Source organism: Homo sapiens, chromosome 16 (assembly GCF_000001405.40).
Source record: "Homo sapiens chromosome 16, GRCh38.p14 Primary Assembly".
NCBI lineage: Eukaryota > Metazoa > Chordata > Mammalia > Primates > Hominidae > Homo > Homo sapiens.
Window position 1 is genome coordinate 52,568,377 of NC_000016.10, and position 23,013 is coordinate 52,591,389.

At 41.8% G+C, this 23,013-nt stretch overlaps 2 long non-coding RNA genes across 2 annotated transcripts in view, besides 1 other annotated feature; one reads left to right on the forward strand and one right to left on the reverse strand.

The window, feature by feature from the left end:
• CASC16 (cancer susceptibility 16) overlaps positions 1-23,013 on the reverse strand; it is a 54,889-nt gene that overhangs the window by 16,290 nt on the left and 15,586 nt on the right. The window contains exon 2 of the long non-coding RNA NR_033920.1: positions 22,560-22,691. This is a non-coding gene — a long non-coding RNA (cancer susceptibility 16). The remainder of the gene's footprint in view (positions 1-22,559; positions 22,692-23,013) is intronic.
• Positions 8,872-10,071: an enhancer, noted in NCBI's record as "BRD4-independent group 4 enhancer chr16:52611160-52612359 (GRCh37/hg19 assembly coordinates)". NCBI's record gives its function as "activates an origin of replication core promoter dependent on BRD2, P300/CBP, MED14 and CDK7 cofactors, and independent of BRD4, by STARR-seq in HCT116 cells {active_cell/tissue: HCT116}" and the evidence as "EXISTENCE:reporter gene assay evidence [ECO:0000049][PMID:35650434]".
• On the forward strand, positions 12,777-20,235 carry LOC105371265 (uncharacterized). Its single transcript, XR_933581.3, has 4 exons — positions 12,777-12,965; positions 19,066-19,164; positions 19,434-19,545; positions 20,066-20,235. It is a non-coding gene; the product is annotated as an uncharacterized LOC105371265 (long non-coding RNA).

The window sequence follows — 23,013 nt, forward strand, 5'->3', positions numbered from 1 at the left end:
GGAGAAAATTCATAAACATTTTTAAAAGTAGATTCTCAAGACTAGACATTATTTTAATATTGCTTATTGATGATTATAAGGTAAAGAATGTTGGTGAGCAGGTAGAAAAGAAAGGTAATTACTAGGACCTAATTCTGGTTCTCCAGAAATAGATCATAGTGTACCAACAAATTTCCATTTTTGATAGAATTACTTTGCTGATATACATTGATCTAAGCATTGCTTCTGGCCATGTCACTGATAATATTTTTCTGGACAACATGCCAAAACACAGGTGGAATGACTGTACAGTCAAAAATATTTTTTGACTATACAGCAGATTTCAATCAACTATACTCAGCTCTCTAGAGATATGCCACAGGTGCTTGTTTTTACTCTTGTGTTTATTGTATTCGATATTCTTTCCTCAATGATTTGGAAGAAGATGTAGCAGGCATACTCACCACATTTATGGAAGGAATCATTGGCATGTTTGATGGCAGAATCAGGATTCAAATTGTACTGACAGGTCAGGATGTTAGGTCAACACCAACCATATGCAATTTAAGAGTAATAGAATCTGTATTTAACATTAAAAAGTCAGTTGTGTTGGCACAGGATTGGGGAGTTGGATTGACAGCAATTGAGTTGGAAAAGACCTGTGGGTTTTAATTAACCCAAAGTTCAATAAGATCCAACAATGAAACAGCTTATTTTTTAAAGCAATTTTAGGCTGCAGTAATAAAAGCCTTATTCTCAGCTGAAGAGCAGTGATGATCCTAATAGATTCTGTGAGGCTACATCTGGAGTATTGTGTACTCAGTTCTGGGTGAAAGAGTGAGCAATTACATACAGGAGGGATTTCAAATGCATGTCACACAAGGACTGGTTATCAGCACCGGGGATAAATGCGAACAAAATGATAATATTTTACAGGAATAATAGTGACCTCCATCTATTTGATGAGTATTCAGGTGTAAAAGGGAGTAAACCTATTCTTTTTGCTCTATGCTTTAGTCAGCTATGGTCACATTAATACCATGTTGGCTTGTAATAACATCTATTTATCTCTTATGCATTCACAGATAAGCTGGAGTTTGTCTGATCTAATGTAGGCTTGGCTGGGCTTGGCTCCAGGCCATGATTGTGGTTCAGGTTTGCTGCATGTGTTTCTTTTTCTTTGGGAATCAGTAGGTGCCCCTGGGAATATTTTTCTTACAGTGATAGAAGAGGCACACGAGGGTGCATGCATTAAAAGCCTCTGCTGATATCATGTCTGCCAATATCCATTGCCCAAGTTAAGCCATCCCAAATTTAAGGGGCTTCAGCCACTGTGAGGCCATGGGAAGGGAACTGCATGTATTCCTATTATGGAGTAGTGGAACAAATAATTTAATTTATTCCACTCCAGACTAGCAGGTCAAAATGAGGGTCAGTGGTCTGAAGCTATAGGAAGATAGATTTTGGTAATAAAAAACTGGATGATCGTTGGAACTGTCCAAAGATGGATGCAAACAACTGAAGTCTTTGTCCCAGAAGGGATTAGACAGAGTTCAATGGGTCATTTCCCAAGAGCATCCCAGATGGAATTCCGGTGTCATTTGGAAAGTTAGAGACTGAGCCAGTTAGTATCTTTCCTACTCCAACATCCTCAAATTCCATAGTCCTGTTCTATCCCATACTCTTCCTCTTGACTCTGACATCCTGAGGCTTTTACTCTCTGTGCCATTCCTTGGGGAACCTAATTATATATGGCTTCTTTGTGTCTCTAAGAGATTCCATGAGTATTTCTTGTCTTCCTAATTGCTTTGGAAGCATTTCAGTGTGCAGGCTGAGTCTTAAGTTTCTCTTAAATTGCCTATAGCTATTAGCTCAGTGTCAGGCACCAAGCCCTTAGCATGGCATTAAATCATCACCCAACACCCAGTGCAGCCTCAAACCATCTTTGCAGCCTCTCTCCTACCTTTCCCATCTTATTATCCAGCCGAATTGAGATACCTGTCCTTCCCGATACACAGCCCCTGCTTTTCAAGTCTTTGCTCACTTATAGACCATTATCCTCCCTTGTCTAGACCCCATCCATCCCACTCAGTGCAAACCAAGTGCTACCTTTTCCAAGATGTTTTCACTGATGCTCCAACCAAAAAGAAGTTTCTCTACCTCTTCTGGGTGGTCTTAACACTTCTCATGGTATTCGAGATGTTTGTGGTATAGAAAAGTGATTCTCCACTCTAACTATCCATGATGACTTGAGAATACTTAAATCATACACGCCCAGGTCCCATCCCAAGATAGTCTCATATTATTGATCTGGAAACAGAAACTCCAAGTAATAGCAGTGTCAGCAATAAAGCAGGAACTCACATAGCAAAGTGTATGGAAATAAGTTATTCCAGGGTTGGTATGGCAGTTTAATGATGCCACCAAGAACCTAGGCTCTTTCTTCCTGATCTGCCATTCCCAATATATCAGCAATGTCTTTCCTCATGGTTGCAAAACAGCTGCTATGGCTCCAAGCATCACATCCTCACACCAGCATACCAGGAAGGAACAAAGCAAGCATAGGAAAAGTGTTCTTCTCACATATCTCTCTTGCTCGAGAAAGAGAACCAAGAAGTTTCCTGCAAGGAACAAAGCAAGCATAGGAAAAGTGTTCTTCTCACATATCTCTCTTGCTCGAGAAAGAGAACCAGGAAGTTTCCTGCAGACATTTCCTCACACCTCATTGGCTGGAACTGGGTCACATGCACATCCTTGAACTATCATTGGCAAAGGGAAATGGGTCATCAAAATTGCTTAAGGCCAAGCAGGAGCCATTGTTGGGGTTAAACTGTCCTGAACAAAATCTAGGCTCTGAATGATAGGCAAGAAAGAAGAGGGGATGGCCACAACTTCCTTTACACGGTGAATAACAAGAGCAGCTTAAGTAAGTAGATGCCCCTATGGGGCAGTAATCTTGCTGTGGGCAGAAACATGTCCATGCACACAGAAGCTTTAGGAATCTTCAGAGAGGTTCCATAGTCACTTGTGAACCACTGAAGCCTCTTTCTCCAAGCCATTGTCTTGAATGCTGTTTTTAACTGATTACAATGCATGCAGCTCCCGTGCCCCACTTATTTTAGCTTTTGAGGATGTTCATTTCCCCGGAATCTCCAAATATAAATCAGGTTTTCACAGAAAACCACAGAGCCCTCACAGGTGTGGAAATCATCTAAAGATATGCTAATGATTTGGGTTTCTAGAAAAATGTATATCTATGAAGGAGGCAGGGATTAAGCACAGCTAGTATGTATGATTTTTTCTTTTCCTTTCATCACCTGTAATAAGGCAGGATGGAGACTGAATGTATCAGACAAAACAGGGATCAAATACTAGTTTCAACATTTGCTGCCTGTTTGACCTTGGGCAAATTCTTTAACCTCTCTGAGCCTTGGTGCCTTGTTCTCCTCATGCATAAAATGAACCCTCCTGCAGGGATGATATGTAGACCAACACTGATAATAATGACAGTAATACCAGTTACCCTGTCATGGGTGTCCATTCCATGACAGGCCTGACTCTAGGCATTTTATACACATTCTCTTCTTTTTTTTTTTTTTGAGACATGGTCTTGCTTTGTTGCTTAGGCTGGAGTGGAGTGGTGCAATTGCAGCTCACTGTAGCCTCAAACTCCTGGGCTCAAGTGATCCTACCATCTCAGCCTCCTGTCTGAATAGCTGGGACTACAAATTTCAGCTAATTTTTTTTTTCATTTTTTTGTAGAGGCTGAGGTTTTGCTATATTGCCCAGGCTGGTTCTCAAACTTCTAGCCTCAAGTGATCCTCCTGCTTTGGCCTCCCAAATTACAGGCATGAGCCACTGCACCTGGCCACGTCATCGTCACAAAAAATGCAATGAGTTAGGGGCTTGTGTTGCTCCCAACGTTTAGAGTATTGAAGGGACCAGCCCAAAGTCACAAAGCTAATGGGCAAGGGTTGAATCCATATGTCTGACTCCAAAGCCAGTTCTGCAGCATATTAATTGCATATTTCTTGGTTTCTTTTTTTTTCCTCCAATTATTTGGTGCTATGCCAAAATCATCAGAATTGTTCCTGTAGGCATTCCTTTTCTTAATTACATATTGCATTGTTCTCTTTCTCACTTTCCCTTGTTTGATCCAAGGTAAATTTTTAGTCTTTTTAAAAATGCTCATACATTATAAATCCTTGCTAATATACAGTTCTTTCAGACTGTCCTGCCTTGCTTGAGGAAGCAGATGTGGGTCAGGGAGAAAGAAGGACCGATGAACTCAAATAGCCTTTTCACTTTTATTCTCTCTTTTCACTTCAAAATGCTGTGTCATCAGTGAATCCCCTCCTCATAATCTCTTCTTTCCTGGAGAATACCAGCCTAGTTTCACTTCCCTTGTAAAATATCCACAGATCTTTGTGCCCCAATCACTTTGGCTGTATTGCACTGGGCCTTGCTAATGGCACAATATCCTTTTCATAATAAGGTATCCCACATGACACAGTAGACTTTTGTACCTGGCCAGAATCACTACATTCATCGCAGATACCATGTGCTGTCTATTGGATACCCTCATTTTCTCTTTTCAGGAAGGGCTGGTGTCAGCTTTCCTCCTGCCTCTTATGAACCAGGAAATTTTTCTCCCTGTATCTTGGGGCTGCTGTTTTCCAGCCTCTGCCAAGTTTCCATTTTTGTGGGACATCAGTTGACCGGCATACCCGTACCCTGGACGGGGACTTGGGTTAACTGAGGGTTGGCATTCTCCCCAAAGCCTGTTCTGCATATATTTTTGAAAACCTATTGGTTTTCTGCCTACCTTCTTTCCTCCATGAGTAGACTTCAATGAACACATCACTCTCTTTCTTCGGTAATTACCTGGTCTCACCTGCTCATCATAAAAGAGCTATTCTTATTGTTAGGGCTGACAGATTCACTTTGCAGGTGATTTAATCTGCATCTGTAGTGTCCACAGAACATATTCTAGAAGTTAAAAGTACATAATATAATGAAAACCCTGATGCAACTTTTGCTTGAAATATGAGTATAGCAAAGACATTTGAGAGAAGAGCCTGAAAATAGGTTAATAGTAGTTTAATTGTATCTAATAAGAGCTACCATTGATTAAGCCTATAATAATACTAGTAACTCCCCTAAATATGCTCTACACATTACTTCATTTAATCTACATAATAACACTCAGAGGAATGTATTACCATCCCAGATTTACAGAGTAAATGTATTACCATCCCAGATTCACAGAGAAAATTAAGGCTAAGAATGTTAGGTAATTGGCCGAGTAGCCTGCAGCTAGTAAGTATCAGAGAACGGATTTGAACCCAGGCCTTGGCTGGTTTCCAAGTCCACAAGCTTAGCTGCTGCTACCCAGCTTCACTGATTTTTGTTCCGTGCACTGCCTCTAGGATGTTTCCGTATTTGCCTTCTGGTTAATATTTACTCCCTCCTCCCTAGCACACCACATTAAGGGTGTGGCATGGGCTTTTCACTTCCTGAATGTTTGTTACTCAGTTTCAACCAGCTTTACTCTCTTTCAAAGTGACATAAAAGTGACAGCCCTTTAAGCTCACAGAAAAACAGGAGCTGATTCCAGTACGCGATTGACTACCATGCAAGATTTTGTCTTTCCTTTTATATTGTTGAAGATTCCTTGATGGCAACATGGCCCACACATTATCTAACCTCCAGACAATCCCAGAGGATCTGCAGGAAACCACCAAGCACCCCAGAGGGGTCACTGGCAACAAATGGATTAAGGAAATGGCCTGATTTATGGGATTATTGGGGGTCGGGGTGGAGAATTATAGACAATTTTGTTTCTACTGCAGAATCAGCATGATAGAGTGAATATGGACTTTGGAGTCAGGCCCAGGCCTGTAGGATGACCTGGGAAGCAGTCTAGGCAGCTTTGGCCCACTTCAGCTTGTAAGATAGAGATAATACATCATCCTAGAAATATCGCATGGATTATCAGATTTTGTATATAAAGTCCCCAGCAGACACCTGGCACACAGTAAGTGCTCCCAAAACCAAAGCAACAGTTCTTAGAAGCTTAGCTTGGCTCAGGCTGAAGTCTCAAATGATCTAGGGTTCACTCTCCAGCCATTTCTAAGCCATTGAGTGAAACTGGACATGTTAGTTCTGGTGTTGACTTCAGTATCCTAAGTTGGGAAATAGAACTCATCATTCCACTCCTCCTTTTAAGTATTTTGATAAGAATAACCGAGAAGTCCATGTAGCATTTTGAAAATATAAAATACTATTAGATTGGTTTTGTTTTGTTTTCATAGGAAAGAGAAAGGAAGAAGGAAGGGAGAGGAGAAAAAGAGAAAAGAATTCAGGACTGATATTTTCAAATTTCCAAAGTGAGCAAGATTGGTGTTTGGTACTCTTTGATCTCTCCTTTTCTTAAAAAAAAGGGGGATGAGTGTGTTAGAGTCCTACCCCATCTAGAATTAGAGAGAGAGGGAAACAGAGAGGTAAAAATATCCTTCCTATTATCCCTCAAATTTTGCCACAGAGAAAACAACTCACTCTGCTTTTGTATCAATGACCTTACTGCCTCAGTGTCCTCATCTGTCGAAATGTGTTTAGGAATAGTTGCCCTGCACACCTGTCCAAGGTGTTAGAAGAGCCAGATAGATAAGACAATGGGGAAACTTATTTTGAAAATCAAGTAGTATTAAAATCAAGGTGGAGAGAAGGAACACCAGGCCAAGAGTGAGCAAATCTGCATTTGAACCTGGGCTTGGATGATCAGCAGCTTTGTGACTTTGGGCAAGTCATTTCACCTCTCCACACTGCAGGTTCCTCATCTTGCAATGTGGAAAGCAGAACCTCTCCGGGTTGGAGGATCCTGTGGGATCCCACGTGAGTCAGCACCTTGAAATTGCACATACAGGGCACATCATTTCTACCATCACCTAAGGTCAATCCCAGGTTATTGCTGGCCTTTTGGTTTGCTATGTTTTCCACCTTTCTCACAAATTAAAAATGCAGACATGTAAATTCTCTATCTATGTGCACTTCAGGAACTTTCAAGATCCCTTTAGGGTTATATCTTTCCTTAGCCTCTTGCAAACCTGAAAGCAAGGTGACTGTAGGACAAACTGTGTGGGCACTGGATGGGGAATGCATGCCTCTGGTAGAAGGGGAAGCCAGAATTCAGAGCCAAAGAACAGGCACCATGCAGGACTATGAGTCCAGGATGTCCAAATCTGACTTCTAAAGGAATGCCAGTGATACTGATTGTTTTTAATATAAAATCTACCATTTACAAAATACAGGCTCAAGAACAATTGTAAACACTGCACAGGGCAAGTTTTATTGTTTTTCTTAAAAGAGCTGAAAACCATAATCAAGTGCATCTGCCCTTTGTTGTAGATTGGGGCCTGCAATCTAGGGAGTAGAGAAAGGCTGCCTGACTGGTTAGCAATTGAAACACAGAGCTGGGGCCATCTAGTCCGAATGCAGTGTTCATCGTTCTTTGCTAAACACAAGGTGACCGTGGTTGTTGTGGTTAGCAAGGTCACCTAGCTTCCTAGGCAGACCTTATTCCACCACAATGGGCTTCCTTTGCTAGAAAGGACATGGAAAAAGGAGTGACAAAAGAGGAGAAAGAGCTAGTGAAGGAAAGAGAGGAAGAGAGAGGAAGGTCCCCAGTTGTTATTACCTAGGGAGTGCCCAGCATGCCTTTCAGAGGAACACAGGTGCCTACCCCTTTCTCCTGCCTGCTACAGCCCACCACCACCAATAACAACTGTGCACCCTCACTGTTGCCCCCATGCATGGAGCAGAGATAGAGCACAGATAGGGAGAAAAGAATTTTCAAGGGTGAGTTGGAATAGTGACTTCTGCAAGCCTGGTAGGTTTGTCTCTTTTCCGGTATCCTTGCCACTGCACCAGGTGAAGGGGAAGCAGACTGTAAAATACTTTGAATATTATCAAGGTTATTTGGGGAAAAAAAACAGCAACGACCTCACCTGATTGTGCCAGGTTTGTGATAGGAATCTGGGGGGAAGTTGTCCTCAATGACCTCCATTTCTTGAATGACCCGTGGCCCACCTGCTACCTCTGAGATGAGTCAGGGGACACAACTTTCTTGATTTCCATCATCATTTGCCTGCTACTGCTGCAGAGACTCAAGTGGAAAATGTCACTTCTTGAAGTCATGGCTTTGGTGTCTGGTGACAGGGAGTAGATAGAGTTTGGACAGAGCCACTTGTGAGCTGCGTGGTTTAATCTCTCTGAACTTCAGTGTCTCTAGCTCTAAAATGGGGGTAGCAGCCTCAATGAGCAAATTAAAGCAAAATAACAAATGTAAAGCACTTATCCCAAGACAAGGCACATGAGAAGTATTCAACAAAGGACAGCTCTAGTTATGGTGGTGATGGTCTCTAAAGCTTCCAGACTCAGATTCCTAACCAGACAGCCATGAGACATGGTCCCCACAGTGGCAAAAGGGTAGGCTCCAGGCTGCCTAAGTTTAAATATCCTGACTCTACCACTTCAGCAAGGTACTAAACTCTGTGCTTCTTGCCTCATCTGTAAGATGGAGATACCTCATTGGGCTGTTGGGAAGATTGACAGGGGTCACCCTTATAATGTGCTCAGCACAATGCTTGGACCAGGATGGATGCTGCTTGGGTGATGTTATCATCCAGGTGGGCACTGTGGAACACAGACTGATACTTAAGTTCAGCACTTGCCTCATGGAGCTTACAGTCCAGATAGAATAGGTGCACATGAGATTTTTCTCAGCAAAGTTGTAGTCAGTGCTGCCCGTGCCACCCATCTGGTCTCAGCATTGCTGCTCATGTGCACTGTCGTGACCCATCTTTCTGCTGCTGACCTTAAGAAACCTTGCCTTAAGGTATGCTTTGGGGAAACCAAATTATGACAGATATAAACTGAAGTGCCAAGACGAATCTTTCAAAGTGCTGTGATGTCCAGATACGTGGCAAGTGCCAGGAATTTGTGTTTGGGCCCACTGGGAGAGAGGTCCTTTTCCCCGGCTTCCCGCAGTGGAAAGCTGCTGTATGTCTGATACCTGTGCTCCAAATCTACCCTCGAGTTCTTATTTGGCAACAGGCTTGCTTAGCAATGTCCCTGGGGTCAGGGAGCCACGGGTGGGCTGATGCAAGAAACTGCAGTTGTGTCTCTAGGCTGCGACAGCATCACAGCTGTGAGCTTCTCAATTTAAACTCAACATCTGGGCACAAGAGGAAGCACCCTCCATCCAGGCAAGTTGAAGTTTTCTTTCCTGTATCTTTAACAGAGGTTAAAATGTAAACACAAAACAAAGCAAAACCCAACTTAACTCTCTGGGTCCTGTTTCTGTTAAAAACATTTTTTAAAAAATAATAATAATTAGAACAATAGACCCAGCTGAGAGAAGTCTGTCTCATAATAACAAGAGAGACTAAAACACGCTCTCCCACAAACAGATAAGGAAATAGTGAGCTAAAAAGTAAAACTTAAGAGTGCTACTTCTCAACTCAGTAATTGATTCATGAATAAGCTCTAGCCCAATTTTCTATGAAAAATAACAACATAGAGAAAAGAAAAGCCACTCAGATGCAGCTATGTCACCCAAGTGTTCACTGGAGAAATTTAATATGTGTCAGAGAAAAATCTGCCTTCTCCAAAACATTGCCCCCTCCAAAAAAAATGCTTCTCGTTGTGGGATTTTTTCCTCCACACTGACAGAGAGTTTGAAAGTAAAGCAGCCGACTAGAGTGTGGGTGCCCACGCCTTAGAACAAAGAGATTAAAGAATAGGCTTTTCTTCAAATAAATTCGATTTTTTTGCAACAAATTCAGGGCCTGGACAGTTTAATGAAGAATAAAAAATGCTCAGACCCCTCTCTTTCAGCTTTTCCAAACAAACACAGTCATTTCCAACCACTCACAGGTGTTTTTCTTCCCAAAACAAACACAGAAACAAATATTTACAGAGTTATGAAAATTCAATAGAAGTCACAGGGGCACAAATTTCCTCACCTGCATCCAAGATCTCTGGCCTGGGATTATCAAACAGAACGTCACACCTACTTTCCATTACGGGACAGGAAATCTTTGAGCCAAAGAGAATCAGTCTGCAGAATGTGTTCGTAAGGATAAAGGCCTCATCTTTTCAAGAAAGTGTTTGCAGCTCCAAGGAAGAATGGACTTTGGACAAAGGAAACACCAGTGACTTTTTCCTCATCTGCCCATACGTGCAGAAATGCCCTTGAAGAGCTCATGACTGCCTTGCGAATTAATCCCTATGTTGACCAACAACACAAAGAGTGGTGCTGACTACCACACTGACCACCAGGAATAATTTCCTACTTAGGTGTTTGCGGGAAAGGCTGTTGTTTGCTTTTCTCAAATGTCCCGGATGTGAACAGGTCTCAAAATTAGGAAATGCAGCTGGGAATGGCTGCTATCAACAACCCTTATTTCATCTTTTTTCTTTCTTCAATAGAGCTAGAGAAGCAGGCAAGAAAAGAAAATAATGCAATTATGAAAGGAGGGAGGAAAGACAGAGGGAAGGCAGCGGGGCAGAAGGGAAGCGGAAAAAAGATGGGAGAGAAAGGAAGAAAGGGAGGGCAGAATGGGGACAAAAGATGGCAGGGAGGGAGCGAGGGAGGAAGGAGCAGAAAGGAGAGGGAAGAAGAAAGGAAGGAAGGAGAGAGGCAGAGAGAGAGACAAAAAGAAAGAATGAGAGAGAAACCTGCTGTTGTCAGAACCTGACTGGTTTACGCTGAGGAACCAGATAGCCTCTCAGTGAAAAGCTGAGATTAAGCTCACAACATAATTTCCATTATGTTAATGTTGCTTTAAAATATATTGCACAGAGTGCTGCAACAATCAAATTATCAATTATAATGTCTACTCAGAGTAGAAAAGTGTTGCAAACAGAGGGCTGATTACTGCTTCAGTACATCCAATCTGCATACTCATTGTTCAGTACAGGGAAAACAAATTATCTTGTGTTGGCCCCAGTTCAAATTTAATTAAATGAGTGCAAAGCAATTATAATAAAGTACAATAGTGTAGTAATGAAAGGAAAATAACTCATTAACCTATTAATCTTTATTTATGTTCCTCTCAAATAACTATGTAATTTCTTTATCACCGCATCCCATAAGAAAAAGTAGGGTCTCGCTGCTCATGGCCTGGTTTAACAGGTTCTATTTGGTTAAGATGCCTTTGTGGGCACCATTTATACTCACTTTGCTTAGCTTTGGGGCCACGCACCCCCCAGCTGTCTGTCATGCTCCCTGCCCACACGTATGCGTACCTGATCTAGATTTAGCGCTCCTCTCCCACTTTTCCCTGACACTTGTCAGTTACAGAAGGTAAATCTCTCTGGAAGTGAGAAGTGCTTACCACAGCATATGGGAAAGAGGCATCTTCCAGCATCTGGTATGTAAGGCAATGCAAAAAAGGGGAGAGGACAGAATCACTTCTGGTTTAGAGAGAGCCCAGTGCTTGACAGCTGAAGAGATTCCACTAAAAGCTAACACTCCACTGTGCTTTCCAGTTAATAAAGCTTTTTACATGTATGATTTCACTGAGGCCTCCTGATAACACTGTGAGGGTGCCTGATGTACAGATGAGGAAACAGAATGATGGAGTAGAAAAGTATGGTGTCCAAGCCTTGCTACTCATGAGTAGCAGATCCAGGATTCTAATTTAGGTCTACAGCCCCTAAATCTTCATTTCATTCCCCTAGAACCTTGCTACTCAAAGTGTGGTCCAGGGACCAGGAGCATTGGCGCCACCTGGAAGCTCATTGGAATCTTGGGCCTCACCCTAGACCTGCAGAATAAGACTCCACATTTTATAAGATCCTCTAGTGATTCTCACACACTGAAGTTTAAGAAGCACTGGAACTATTGGATAGTACACTGCCTTTTGAGAGAATGGTGACTCAGGCAAATCTCCCAGCAACTACTTGGTTAAGCATTTCCTTGCAATTTGCAACACCTTGAGATGACCTTGAGATGATCTTGGGTGATCAAGGTTGATTCTGGCTTCCATTTTCATGTTATCTGAAGACAGGGCTGGAAGTAGAGGACATAGTAAAAGCAGAAATGATTTCTCTTTCTGGATCCACAGCAGACCCGAAAATCTTCCCCTTTTTCTTCCAAAGAGAATTTGTGAAATAGAGAGAAAGGAGAGGGGAGAAACTGATGAATTAAGGAAGGAAACAGACACTCGTTAAGTTTCTACCCTGTTCTTGGAGGTTTTCCATGTATTCCTTCATTTAATCTTCACAACAAGCACCTTTTTAAGATAAGGTGACTGACGACAGGTTTAAGTGATATGCCCAAGGTCACCCACACTGCTGGGTAACAGAAATGGTATTTGGCTTGGATTCAAAGTTTACACTTTCACTGTACTCTATTTTCTCTTAAAAAAAAAAAAGGAAAAGGGAAGGAAATCAAGATGAAATAAAAGGGTGGTGTGGTAGTCATTAGTGCTGTTCACCAAGAATCTCCAGTTTTTAGTCTCTGAGGTATGTGAAGGATTATACTTCCTGCCCTGCTTAGAAGTAGGTGGGAGCCATGTAAATAGGTTTGGCCAATGAATTGGCAGCAGCGGTTTCATGTTTCATTTTCAGATCAAATATTTAATTGCTTGTGGACACCTTACAGAGCTATCTCTCTTTCCTCTGCCATGAAAATTGCCAATATTCAAGATGGTGGTTGCATCATAAACCTGTATCCATAGTGAGTGAATATGCTCACCAGAGACCCCCACCAACCTATGATAGACACATAATGAGAGTGATAAAAGCAATAAACCTTTGTGTTATTTTGAGCCCCTGAAGTGTGATGGTTGCTTGCTACTGTAGCATCACTGAGCCCATCCCCACTCTTCCAGATGCTAGGAAGACGTGTGAAGGGAAACAGTTAACATTTCTACACTGCAACTTTTTCACTTGAGACTCACAGCATTCCTATGAGAAAGGTAAGGAATGGCTATTATTTATTATGTATTTATAAATTACTATTTACAGATAATTTAACACTGACATAGCAGTTTAAGTGTCCTGCCCAAGATCACAAAGTTTATAAGTGGAAGGGCTAGGTTTGGAGCACAAGGCTTGTAATGACTGATCTTTCTTCAATGCAGAACACTTCCTCCAAAAAAGGACTGGAGCACCATTACCTGCCCTTGGGTATACTCAGATTGGTATATCTAGCTTTGTACTCACACTCCTCTTCCCCCACCACTCAGGAGGAATCCAAGTTATTGGGCAAAAATCAGGCCAAGGAAAAACAAGTACATGCAGTTGCCAGCAGATGACGACATTGGGTCTTTGCTAGAGAAACCACCAGAGAAAGTTCACAGTGATAACCCTCAATGAAGTCAACTGTAAGGAGCTTCATTGTCCAGTTTGAGTGTTTTTTGTTTTTTGTTTGAGAAAGGGTCTTACTGCATCGCCCAGGCTGGAGTGCAGTGGCACAATCACTGCTCATTGCAGCCTCAACATCCTGGGCTCAAGCGATCCTCCTACCTCAGCCTCCCAAGTAGTTAGAACCACAGGTGCGTGCTACCCCACCCAGCAAATTTAATTTTTTTTTTTTTTTTTTTAGAGACAGGGTCTCCCTATGTTGCTCAATCTCGTCTCTAACTCCTGGGATCAAGCGATCTTCCTACGTTGGCCTCCCAAAGTGCTGGGATTATAGGTGTGAGCCACCATGCCTGGCCTGTGTTCATCTTTCATGTGATTGTTTTTGCAAGATAGAAAGGCAAAAGTTAGTAGTAGCAGGATTGACCTTTGTAATATGATCTTAAAAATATTGTCTCCTAATTTGCATATGGAAGAATCTCAACTAAATAACCTCCTTTTAACCAGTTCACTAAACAAACCAAAGTTCTCCCTTTTTCCTATAAAACATGCTTCTAATGCAGGTTAGAGGCTCTTGGCAAGTAGGCTACTGTCCAGCATGTCCAAGGTCCTGCTCTCCCATCTTTGAGTGCTATGTTTACTAAGAGTCTATTAGGTTCATTCCCAGGCTTGTTTATGCTCACTGTATTTCTTATTGTCATTATGTACCTTAATGTAATGTGAGTCAGAAAAAAACATATTTCTGTGAAGACTGGATAGAACGCTTTGGAAAGATTTGATAAAAGCAAGTTACTAAAAAGAGTGTTGGCAGACCTGTAACAAAAAATTGACAAAAGTTATGGTCTATGTGGAACCTGCCCTCAGAATGTTCTTTTAGTTTCCCAAGGCTTCACATTCTGTGTTAAAGAAACAAACTGAAATTCATGGACAATGCATTGCGAGTGTGATTTATACAAGAAAGGCAATCTAGACGTCTTAGCAATGGAATGTAACCATGTTTTTTAAAAGCCTAAGTCATATATCAAATGATTGTCAAAACGATAACCCAAAACAATGTATAGGTTTTGTGTTAAAATAAAATGAAATATTTAAAGTATGGATCGTTTTTAATCATTTCTGAATTCAAGCCCTACCTATTTGTCCCAATTGCTTCTGATATAAGGACTTTCACATAATTACTTTTCCTGTTTGCCATTTTCCCATTTCCCCTTCCACAGACATACTGTGCTACCTTTAAGTGCGAGGTCTTTCACATATCTTTTTTTATCCAATTACCTCATTCAACAATATTTATTTTAAAAAATTTTTTAAAGAGATGGGATCTGCCTATGTTGCCCAGGTTGGTCTCAAACTCCTGGGTTCAAGCAGTCCTCCCACCTTGGCCTCCCAAAGTGCTGGGTTACAGGCATGAGCCAACACATCTGGCCCTCTACAAATATTTCCTGGACAATTACTATGTGCCAAGCACTGGCCTGGGTCCTGGGCATAGACCAACGAACTGTAGAGCCAACAGTAGAGAAAACAGACTTTAAATAATGAGAGAATCATCATTTAATAATAACTGTGGTGTGCGTTATGGAGAAATTCAGAGTTCACTCTGTTTTTATATAACTCAGACCTGGGATGGATTTCCTACTTCTGAATGGTAAAGTAAGTGTCTGAGTAGATGAGCCACCAGCCTTCTTCCTTGTATTCTATTTTTAATGCAGTTTCTTTGGGCCAAATGATCACCGTCATCCTTACCAGCTCCAGACTGTGATTCCATAGTGGCTGGATTGCCTTGGAGCTTAGAGCAGGTTATTTCAGTTTACTCCATGGATATTCTCTCCACTCTTCTCCACTTCATGATGGTTAATATTGAGTGTCAACTTGATTGGATTGAAGGATGCAAATTATTGTTCCTGGGAGTGTCTATGAAGGTGTTGCCAAAGGAGATTAACATTTGAGTCAGTGGACTGGGGAAGGCAGACTCACCCTCAATCTGGGTGGGCACAATTTAATCAGCTGCCAGCGTAACCACAATAAAAGCAGGCAAAGAACGTGAAAAGACTAGACTCGTTTAGTCTTCTGGCCTACATCTTTCTCCTGTGCTGGATGCTTCCTGCCCTCAAACATCAGACTCCAAGTTCTTCAATTCTGGCTTCCCTGATCCTCAGCTTGCAGACGGCCTATTGTGGGACCTCATCCTGTGACCGTGAGTCAACGCTCGTTAATAAACTCCCTTTTATATATACATCTATCCTATTAATTCCATCCCTCTAGAGAACCCTAAGATATCTCTATTCTGTTCCCCAAGAGGTGGACCTTTATGGACCCAATCAACTGCCTCCCTCACCCTGTGCCTCCAGGTGGCTTGGAAAGCAGGAGGCGATGAAGGCTGTGGGTTTTGTTCTCTATCTATCTATCTGCAGAATTGTCAAGTGTTGGCAGCCTCTCTCTTGGCAAAGCCACCACCCTTGTCAAGCAGCACTCTCTTTATAGCTACTCTCTAGGTCAGGGATTGTCAAACAAGGCCCAGACTAAGGGGTGGCAAGCAAAGTGCCTTGGAAGCCAAGGTTACCCTCGGAGTTATGCAAATGCAGGGCCTGAGAGTCCATTCTTTCTTAAATTTTGCACCCTGGACACCTCACTTGCCTTACCCTTGTCCCGGCCTTGATGAAAACTTCCTTTGTAAAGGACTAGAGAATAAATATTTTAGGCTTTGTAGGACACACAGTTTCTGATGCAAGTATTCAATTCTGCTTTTGAAATGTGAGGGCAGTCATAGACAATATGTAAACAAATGGGCACAGCTGTGTTTCAATAAAACTTTATTTTCAGAAACAGGTACAGGGCCAGGTTTGATCCATGGGCCATGGTTTGCCAACACCTGCTCTAAGTGATACAGTTCCCCATGGTTGCTTACTCTGGGACAGCACGGTCCCTTGTGGTTTCCTTTAATCCTGCTCACATCTTTGCAAAAAGCCCCTTTACTAAGCTCCCCTCGAATTATCCAAATTGAGTGTGCCATCTGTTTCTTGCTAGGACCCTAATTGATGCACTTGGCTTTGCATTTCTCCAACACAGGCTTTAATTGCAAAGTAACAACAACAAAAAAAACAAGAAAATGGAGACTACAACCAATTACTCTGTAGCAGGGAAGTGGTGGTGTTTACATGTATTCATCCATTCCCAAATATGATAGAATATTTCACAAAGTTGCAGTACACTCTTAAAGTTGATGGGAGCTGAAATAAATAAGCCTTTTTTTTTCCCCTGGGGCCTGCACTCTCAACCCTGCTGCCCTACTTGTCCTCTTCTAATGGAATGGAGGTCTATTCTAATTAAACAAGAAAACACATCTTTTCACAAAGGGAGAACGGAGGACATTGTACTCTGTTCCTCAAAGAAAGCATGCTTTAATAAGAATCCTTTTATAATCCCTGCTTTTATTTGTAGCTTCCCAAAGCTTTTGCTGGTAATAAAAGGATTGTAAAGTTGACAAATATAAGCAGGGACAAAGAAGTTTGGGGAGATAATGCTCTAGTGAATGGGCTAGTATTTGAAAGTTTATTGATCCTGCAACACCTAGAAGATGATCACGAAGAGCCAATGCTGCCATCAATCAGGGTGATATTTCTATTACAAAGTAAAAGCCCTTCCAGGCAGGGCTATCCATTTCTCATATCATGTAAGAATTATGCTTTGTGCTGAGAAAAATAATTCAGGCCAAAATGCAGGGCTTGGCATCTGAAGATCTGGATTCAAATCTGGCTTCATAGAACTTCTAACCTACTTCTTTATCATATGGAAGCAGCAAATAGAGCTGTAACAAATGCAATGTGTTCTGTTGTGGGGTTGCAGACATCTGCTGTCATTCCACCACTATGACTATCACAAGTAGCATCCATTACTCCTGGAAAAAGCCACCCATTTTCACTGAGGTTCCCTCACTCTCACACTTAAAGCCTCACACTTTCCACTTCTGGTGGAGCTCCATCTCTGTGGCAAGGGTGGAACATGTGACCAAGCCTAGACCAATTAATATACTGTATACCTTGGGCAGAGAGATTTGTTTAATTATAGGCAAATGATCCAGTTACAGCCAATGAGACTTTCTAGGAAAGTGATTAGACAGGCTGTCCTTTCTCACTAGGCTTGAATGTGAGGGCTGGAACTGCTGCAGCCATTGTGGATATATGGGGAGCCTGAGGCTGAAGTCAACAGAGTAGAAGGATGACATTGTTCAAGCCCCACATAGAGCCATGCCTAAAGCTGGTATTGGTTGGGAGAAAATATAGACAAGTTTTCACAATTTCCTTTATCTAAACCCTTTGTAATGTGACTTTGCAGATTCTCCCATTGAGAACATTAAGAGATGGAAACTACTTCCTACTCCTTGAATATGGACTGCTCTTGTAGCTTGCTTTGACCCATGCATTCCAGTGGAAGTGATGGTGTGCACTTTTGCTGTCAGAATCCTGCACCATGCAGAAAAGCCTAGGTGAACCTGCTGGAGGATGAGAGACAATGTGGATGAGAGCCAAGGCATCCCAGCCAACAGCCAGAAGTAGTGTTGCCTAGCTGACCCACAGCTAACTGCAGATCAATAAGGGAGCCCAGTTCAGACCAGAAGAAACATCCAACTGAGCCCAGCTTAAATTGCTGACTTGCAGATTTTCTGCGAAATAAACAGTTGTTTTAAGCTACTGTATGTTGAGGTGATTTATTATTCATCAATAACTGATACACATCCCATCCCTGAATTTTTCATTTATATGAACCGATAATTTTATTTTTGATGTAGTCAGTTAGGAATGGGTTTTCTGTGACTTGAAATAAAACAATTCTTAACACATTAAAGATGTGTCTTTATTTCCCCCACTAGATAGCATCATTAGGGATTCTGTCTTATCCTTATCCAAAGCACTTGCCCTATCTGGATCCAAAGCTGAGTGACTGATCAATAACTACTTAGTGATTGACTATGTCATATTGACAGATTCACAAATCACATTTTGAAGAGCAAAGAATATATTTGCTCTTGAGTCTCCAATGTCATCTGTAGGGCAATTGTACTTTATTTGGCTTAGAGCCTCAACAGAAATTTGGAAGATACAAGGTGCTTCTCCAACCATCACAATAGCTGAAAACAAATACATCTGAGACATTGTATCTAAGGAACCCAACTCTGCCATCTCCCTCAAGGGAACCCAGAAAAATCTGGGCTTTAATCCTACCCTCCTTGCTATAAAAACCTGAAATGATGTCATCTTTTTCTTTCTAAAATAAAATAAAGGCATGTAGTGCTTCTAGGCAAGAGGTCTAGATGTATCTGCCTTTCCTGTCCTCCAGGACACCATCCACTTATTGCTACAACTTGCTGCATTATTCCTGCAATTTATTTTCTTCTTTTTGCACAAAAAAAAAAGGAAGAAAAAACTAAAGCAGGGATTCCATAGAATTCATCCTCTACTTTAGTAAAAAGGTAGAATCCACCTGACCTATTCTGTATGTCAGAGTGGAATCCAGCAGCCATTTCTCTCCAATTATTGAAAAATTGTGTGTGTGTGTGTGTGCGTGTGTGCGTGTGTGTGTGTGTGTAGAGAGAGAGAGAAAAAAAAGGTAGATATACACCAGCATTTTTATTCTTAAATAAGAGGATAATCAGGCTTACTCCCACCCAAGTGAGTTTACACTTTAAATTCTTAAATGGCTGGTTTTTTTTTCCCTCAGATCTGCAGACGAAGGTCCAAAGGAAGAAGATTTTGTTGAAGACTGAAAAGAGAAATATACTTGGTGGACAGAGATAACTCCTTTCAGCACAGAGGTCAGGTAAGGGAATCACAGACTGACATTTACCCTTCTCTCTGAACTCTCCCAGGCCTCAACAGCTCCTAATCTTTCCTTTCTTCATTCTCCCTCCTCCTCATTCACATCTCTTTCCCCAAGAAGACTCAAGAAAAAGTCCAAGATAAGAAATTCCATTTATAAGAAAAGGAAGGCACAGGTTAATTTGGTTTATCTCCTCCAACCTCAACAATGGATGTGAGTTCTGACAATTGCTTGTGGCCAGAACCAATCAAACTTTCCTTCCTCATTAGATGACAAGGCTGCAGCATGAAGAAGATGCCATATTGTGGAATTGGGTGTCAAGGAGAAGACATTCGAAGGTGCATGAACAGAGTGAAGGTGGTGCAAGCAAGTGCAGAGGAGGTGGGGAGACTGGAGTGCTGGGAAAAGGGTCAGCAGAAGCTAGCAAACATGAAAGACACAACACAAAACAAGCAGTTGTGCAAATTAGGATGATAAGGGGGGAGTGGTCAAAGGTGTGTTTCTCATGGCTCAACCAGTGCAAACTCAGTCTTATGACCCTACATGACTGACTGCACCTGGCCTCTGCATCCCTTCAGCCTCTTCCCCAAAAGGACTCCTCCTTATTGCCAGCCACACAAGCCTTCCTTCATTTCCTCTAACAGGCCAGACTTGTTCCTGGCTCCCGGTCTTGGCATTCACTGTTTTTTCTGCCATAGCTGGCTCCTTCCCAAACATGGAATCTCAGCCCAAACAATATCTCCTCTGAGACACCAGCCTTGATCACCTTTATACAATACAGATCTGCTCCTGCCCATCACTTTCTATCTCATGACCCTACAATGTGCCCCTTCGTGATAGCTCACACCAGCTAAAACCATCTTGTTTGTGGATTGCTCACTTGCCCCCTGCCTGTCTCTAGCTCTAGGAGGTCGGCTCCCTGTCACTGTCTGGTCTACTGTGTCGTACCACCCATGCCCAGCACCTAGCCTTGCACATTATAGGACTTAATGCAAACTTCTTGACTGAAAGAAAAATGAAGAAACTCAGCCTTGGGAGAGAAAACAACCATTAAATGATTATTTAATAAAATAGAGTATTAATCTATTTTATATTAATTATTAATTTAGTTCATAAAATATTAATTGTCTTTACAACGAATGTGTCCTTAGTCATTGGTGTTTGTGCTTTGTGAATCTTCACATCCCATGGGGCCAGTAATGGGGGTGGGGGTGTAGTGTGGGAAGTGGGGCAGGGAACCAATCTGGCCTGCAGGGGTTACCTGCCCCATGGGTGCCTGCAGGCTTCATGTGGTTTCAGTGGCATGGCACCCTGATGGGAAGAGTGGCTCAGAATTGGTGGAGTATGGTGATAATAAAAAGCAAAACAACTTTTAGTTGATTATTGTTTTTTAATTCTATACCGACTATGGCCCCTTCACTACCTGCACCCTGTGAGGAGAGTTTTCCCACATCTGTCCCACTCCCACCCTCACACTCCACTGGTTTTTTCCCCCTTCTTGAGTGAACACACGCACTGGAAGAGCAGGTGTCCTTGAAGGGAGGACCAGCTCCATGACAGGACACATGTCCTCCCAAACACAAACATACGCAAACACAGAACAAATTAGAATCTATCCTGGCTCCTGAGAACACTTGCTCTCAGGCCACTAAAGCACCTTGATAATAAATTGTCCTGTGCCTGCTACCTCTGTCTCCACCTGCTCCTGGCAGAAATCTCTTCCCTCATTCCAGCCACTCTCTGGAGGGCAGGCAGGGTTCTGTTTATCCATGTCCACAGGCCATGCCAACCAATGGCTCATGGCTTCCCCACTTCCAGGAAAGCCACATGGCCCAGGATACAATAGAGTAGGGAATGAGTAGGAGGAGAACTGGTCTCTTTATCCCAGCAATATGGACCTTGTGATGGAAAGAGACCTAAAGACAGTCACATTTACTTCTCATCTCTACCCGGGCCCTTTCACACCTAACAGAGTATGGCAATTGGTACATGGATAGCACTGAGCTGAGTGACCCATCATTACTTCCTGCCATCGGACACTTATGTTCCATCCCAGTAGGGTTCCCTAGTCACAATGAAGATCCAGTCTCTATGCTACCTCCATCTGATTTCTTCCTTGATCTCTACTCCTTTTATCCCACTAACAAATTTTGTATTATTACTTTTCATTTATTCAAAAGTATACATTTGTTTGTGCACAAAAAAATACAATTTCTTTTTTTGTATGGTTCAGATTTAAATCCCACATACATGATATATGCAAGCAAGTTGCTTTGCTGGGGAGATTTGTGAAATTTCCTCACACTCATGTTGTAAGCTACTTTGTGGTCCTCATCTCTTTTCACATGGACAGCACTCTTACAGAAATTAAGAACTTTATTTTTTTGTAGAAAACCAGATGTAAGCCCATTGAAAGGAGAAACCTTGGCTATCTTTGTCATTATAATAAATCTAGTATGAAATTGTTGGTTAGAAAATATTAAATGAAAGGAAGACAGAGAAGGAGGGAAGAGGAAGGTAAGAAGGGAGGAGGGAGCTAGAGAAAAGGGGGCGGGAGGGAGAAAAGAAATTAAGTTGTCCTGAAACTCAACTGCTAGGACAGTTACTGTGAGTAAAGAGGAAATAACAGTTTATAGAAAAATATGTTTCTTATTTTGAAAAAAAAAAGTTTGGAATAAAACAAAAAATACAAAGACCCCTATTTTTTAGAATTATGAGGAGTTGGAGGAGTCACTTAAATGTTTGTTAAACATCACTACTTCTACCTATAAAGGGGAAAATACTTATAAAGGGAAAATTTTAACTAGAGTGATATTTGGGACTTAAAATGTCTGGTACCAATTTTATCCATTTCTCATCCCAGAGCAGGAAGTTTGCATTGTTTATGACTGAATATTCAAGTATCTTTCCCCCACTAGGATTTACTGTAGGTTCGTGGTAGTGACAGGGGATTTAAATGAAAATTTTTAGGTCTCGGTCAGTAAAACGACCTGTGTCAGCCTAGAGAAAGAGGAAGAGAGGAGACAGGGTTGACCCAGCGCTGGACGAGTCTGAAGATGTGCATGGGGAGAAAATAATTGAGCTCATGTGACCCAAAGTCAAGTGTACTCTGGGTTTAGGTCTCAGCTGCAGTATTTATCGGACTGTGAGGATCATTTCAGCTCCCTGAGCCTCAGTTTACTACTCATCTACAGAATGGAATTAATAACATTAAATGAGATGATGCATCACTAGACATTTAGCTCAGATCATGGCATGTATTACATATGCCACAACTGTTAGCTAGTGTTATGATAATCTTTGTTATTATTATGGTCAAGATGCCTACTGCAAGACTAAATATATATCAAATGTTTTCTGTTGAGCATACAACTTGAGCATATTTTCCAACTTACCTTACAGTTCCATGTACCCACGTGGCTGGATTCTGAACAATGACCACTTCCAGACCGGACTTACAAAATCTCTCTCCACACTCTCTCATTTCCCTCATCTTCCGAGAAGATCCAATGGAGGACTTCAAAGTCCTAGAAGATGGCAAAGCGACAAGACAGAAAGAATGTCATCCATGAATGACCACGTGGAGCAGAGCTCCCACTCCCTGCCCTGCTGTCCCACATTGCACAAGAATGTGACATAGAAACACAATTTCATTTCTCTTATGTCACGGAAATTTGAGGACTCTTCCTTATAGTTGCTAGTATTAATTACCCTAGCTAATGCCAAGGAAGACCAAAAAGTCTTTCCAATGCTTTGTAAGGACTAACCAGAAGACACACATAAACACAGCTTTGCTCAAATTCATTTTTGTCACAAATCACTTCTTCAGGGCCTCAGAATGTGAATTCC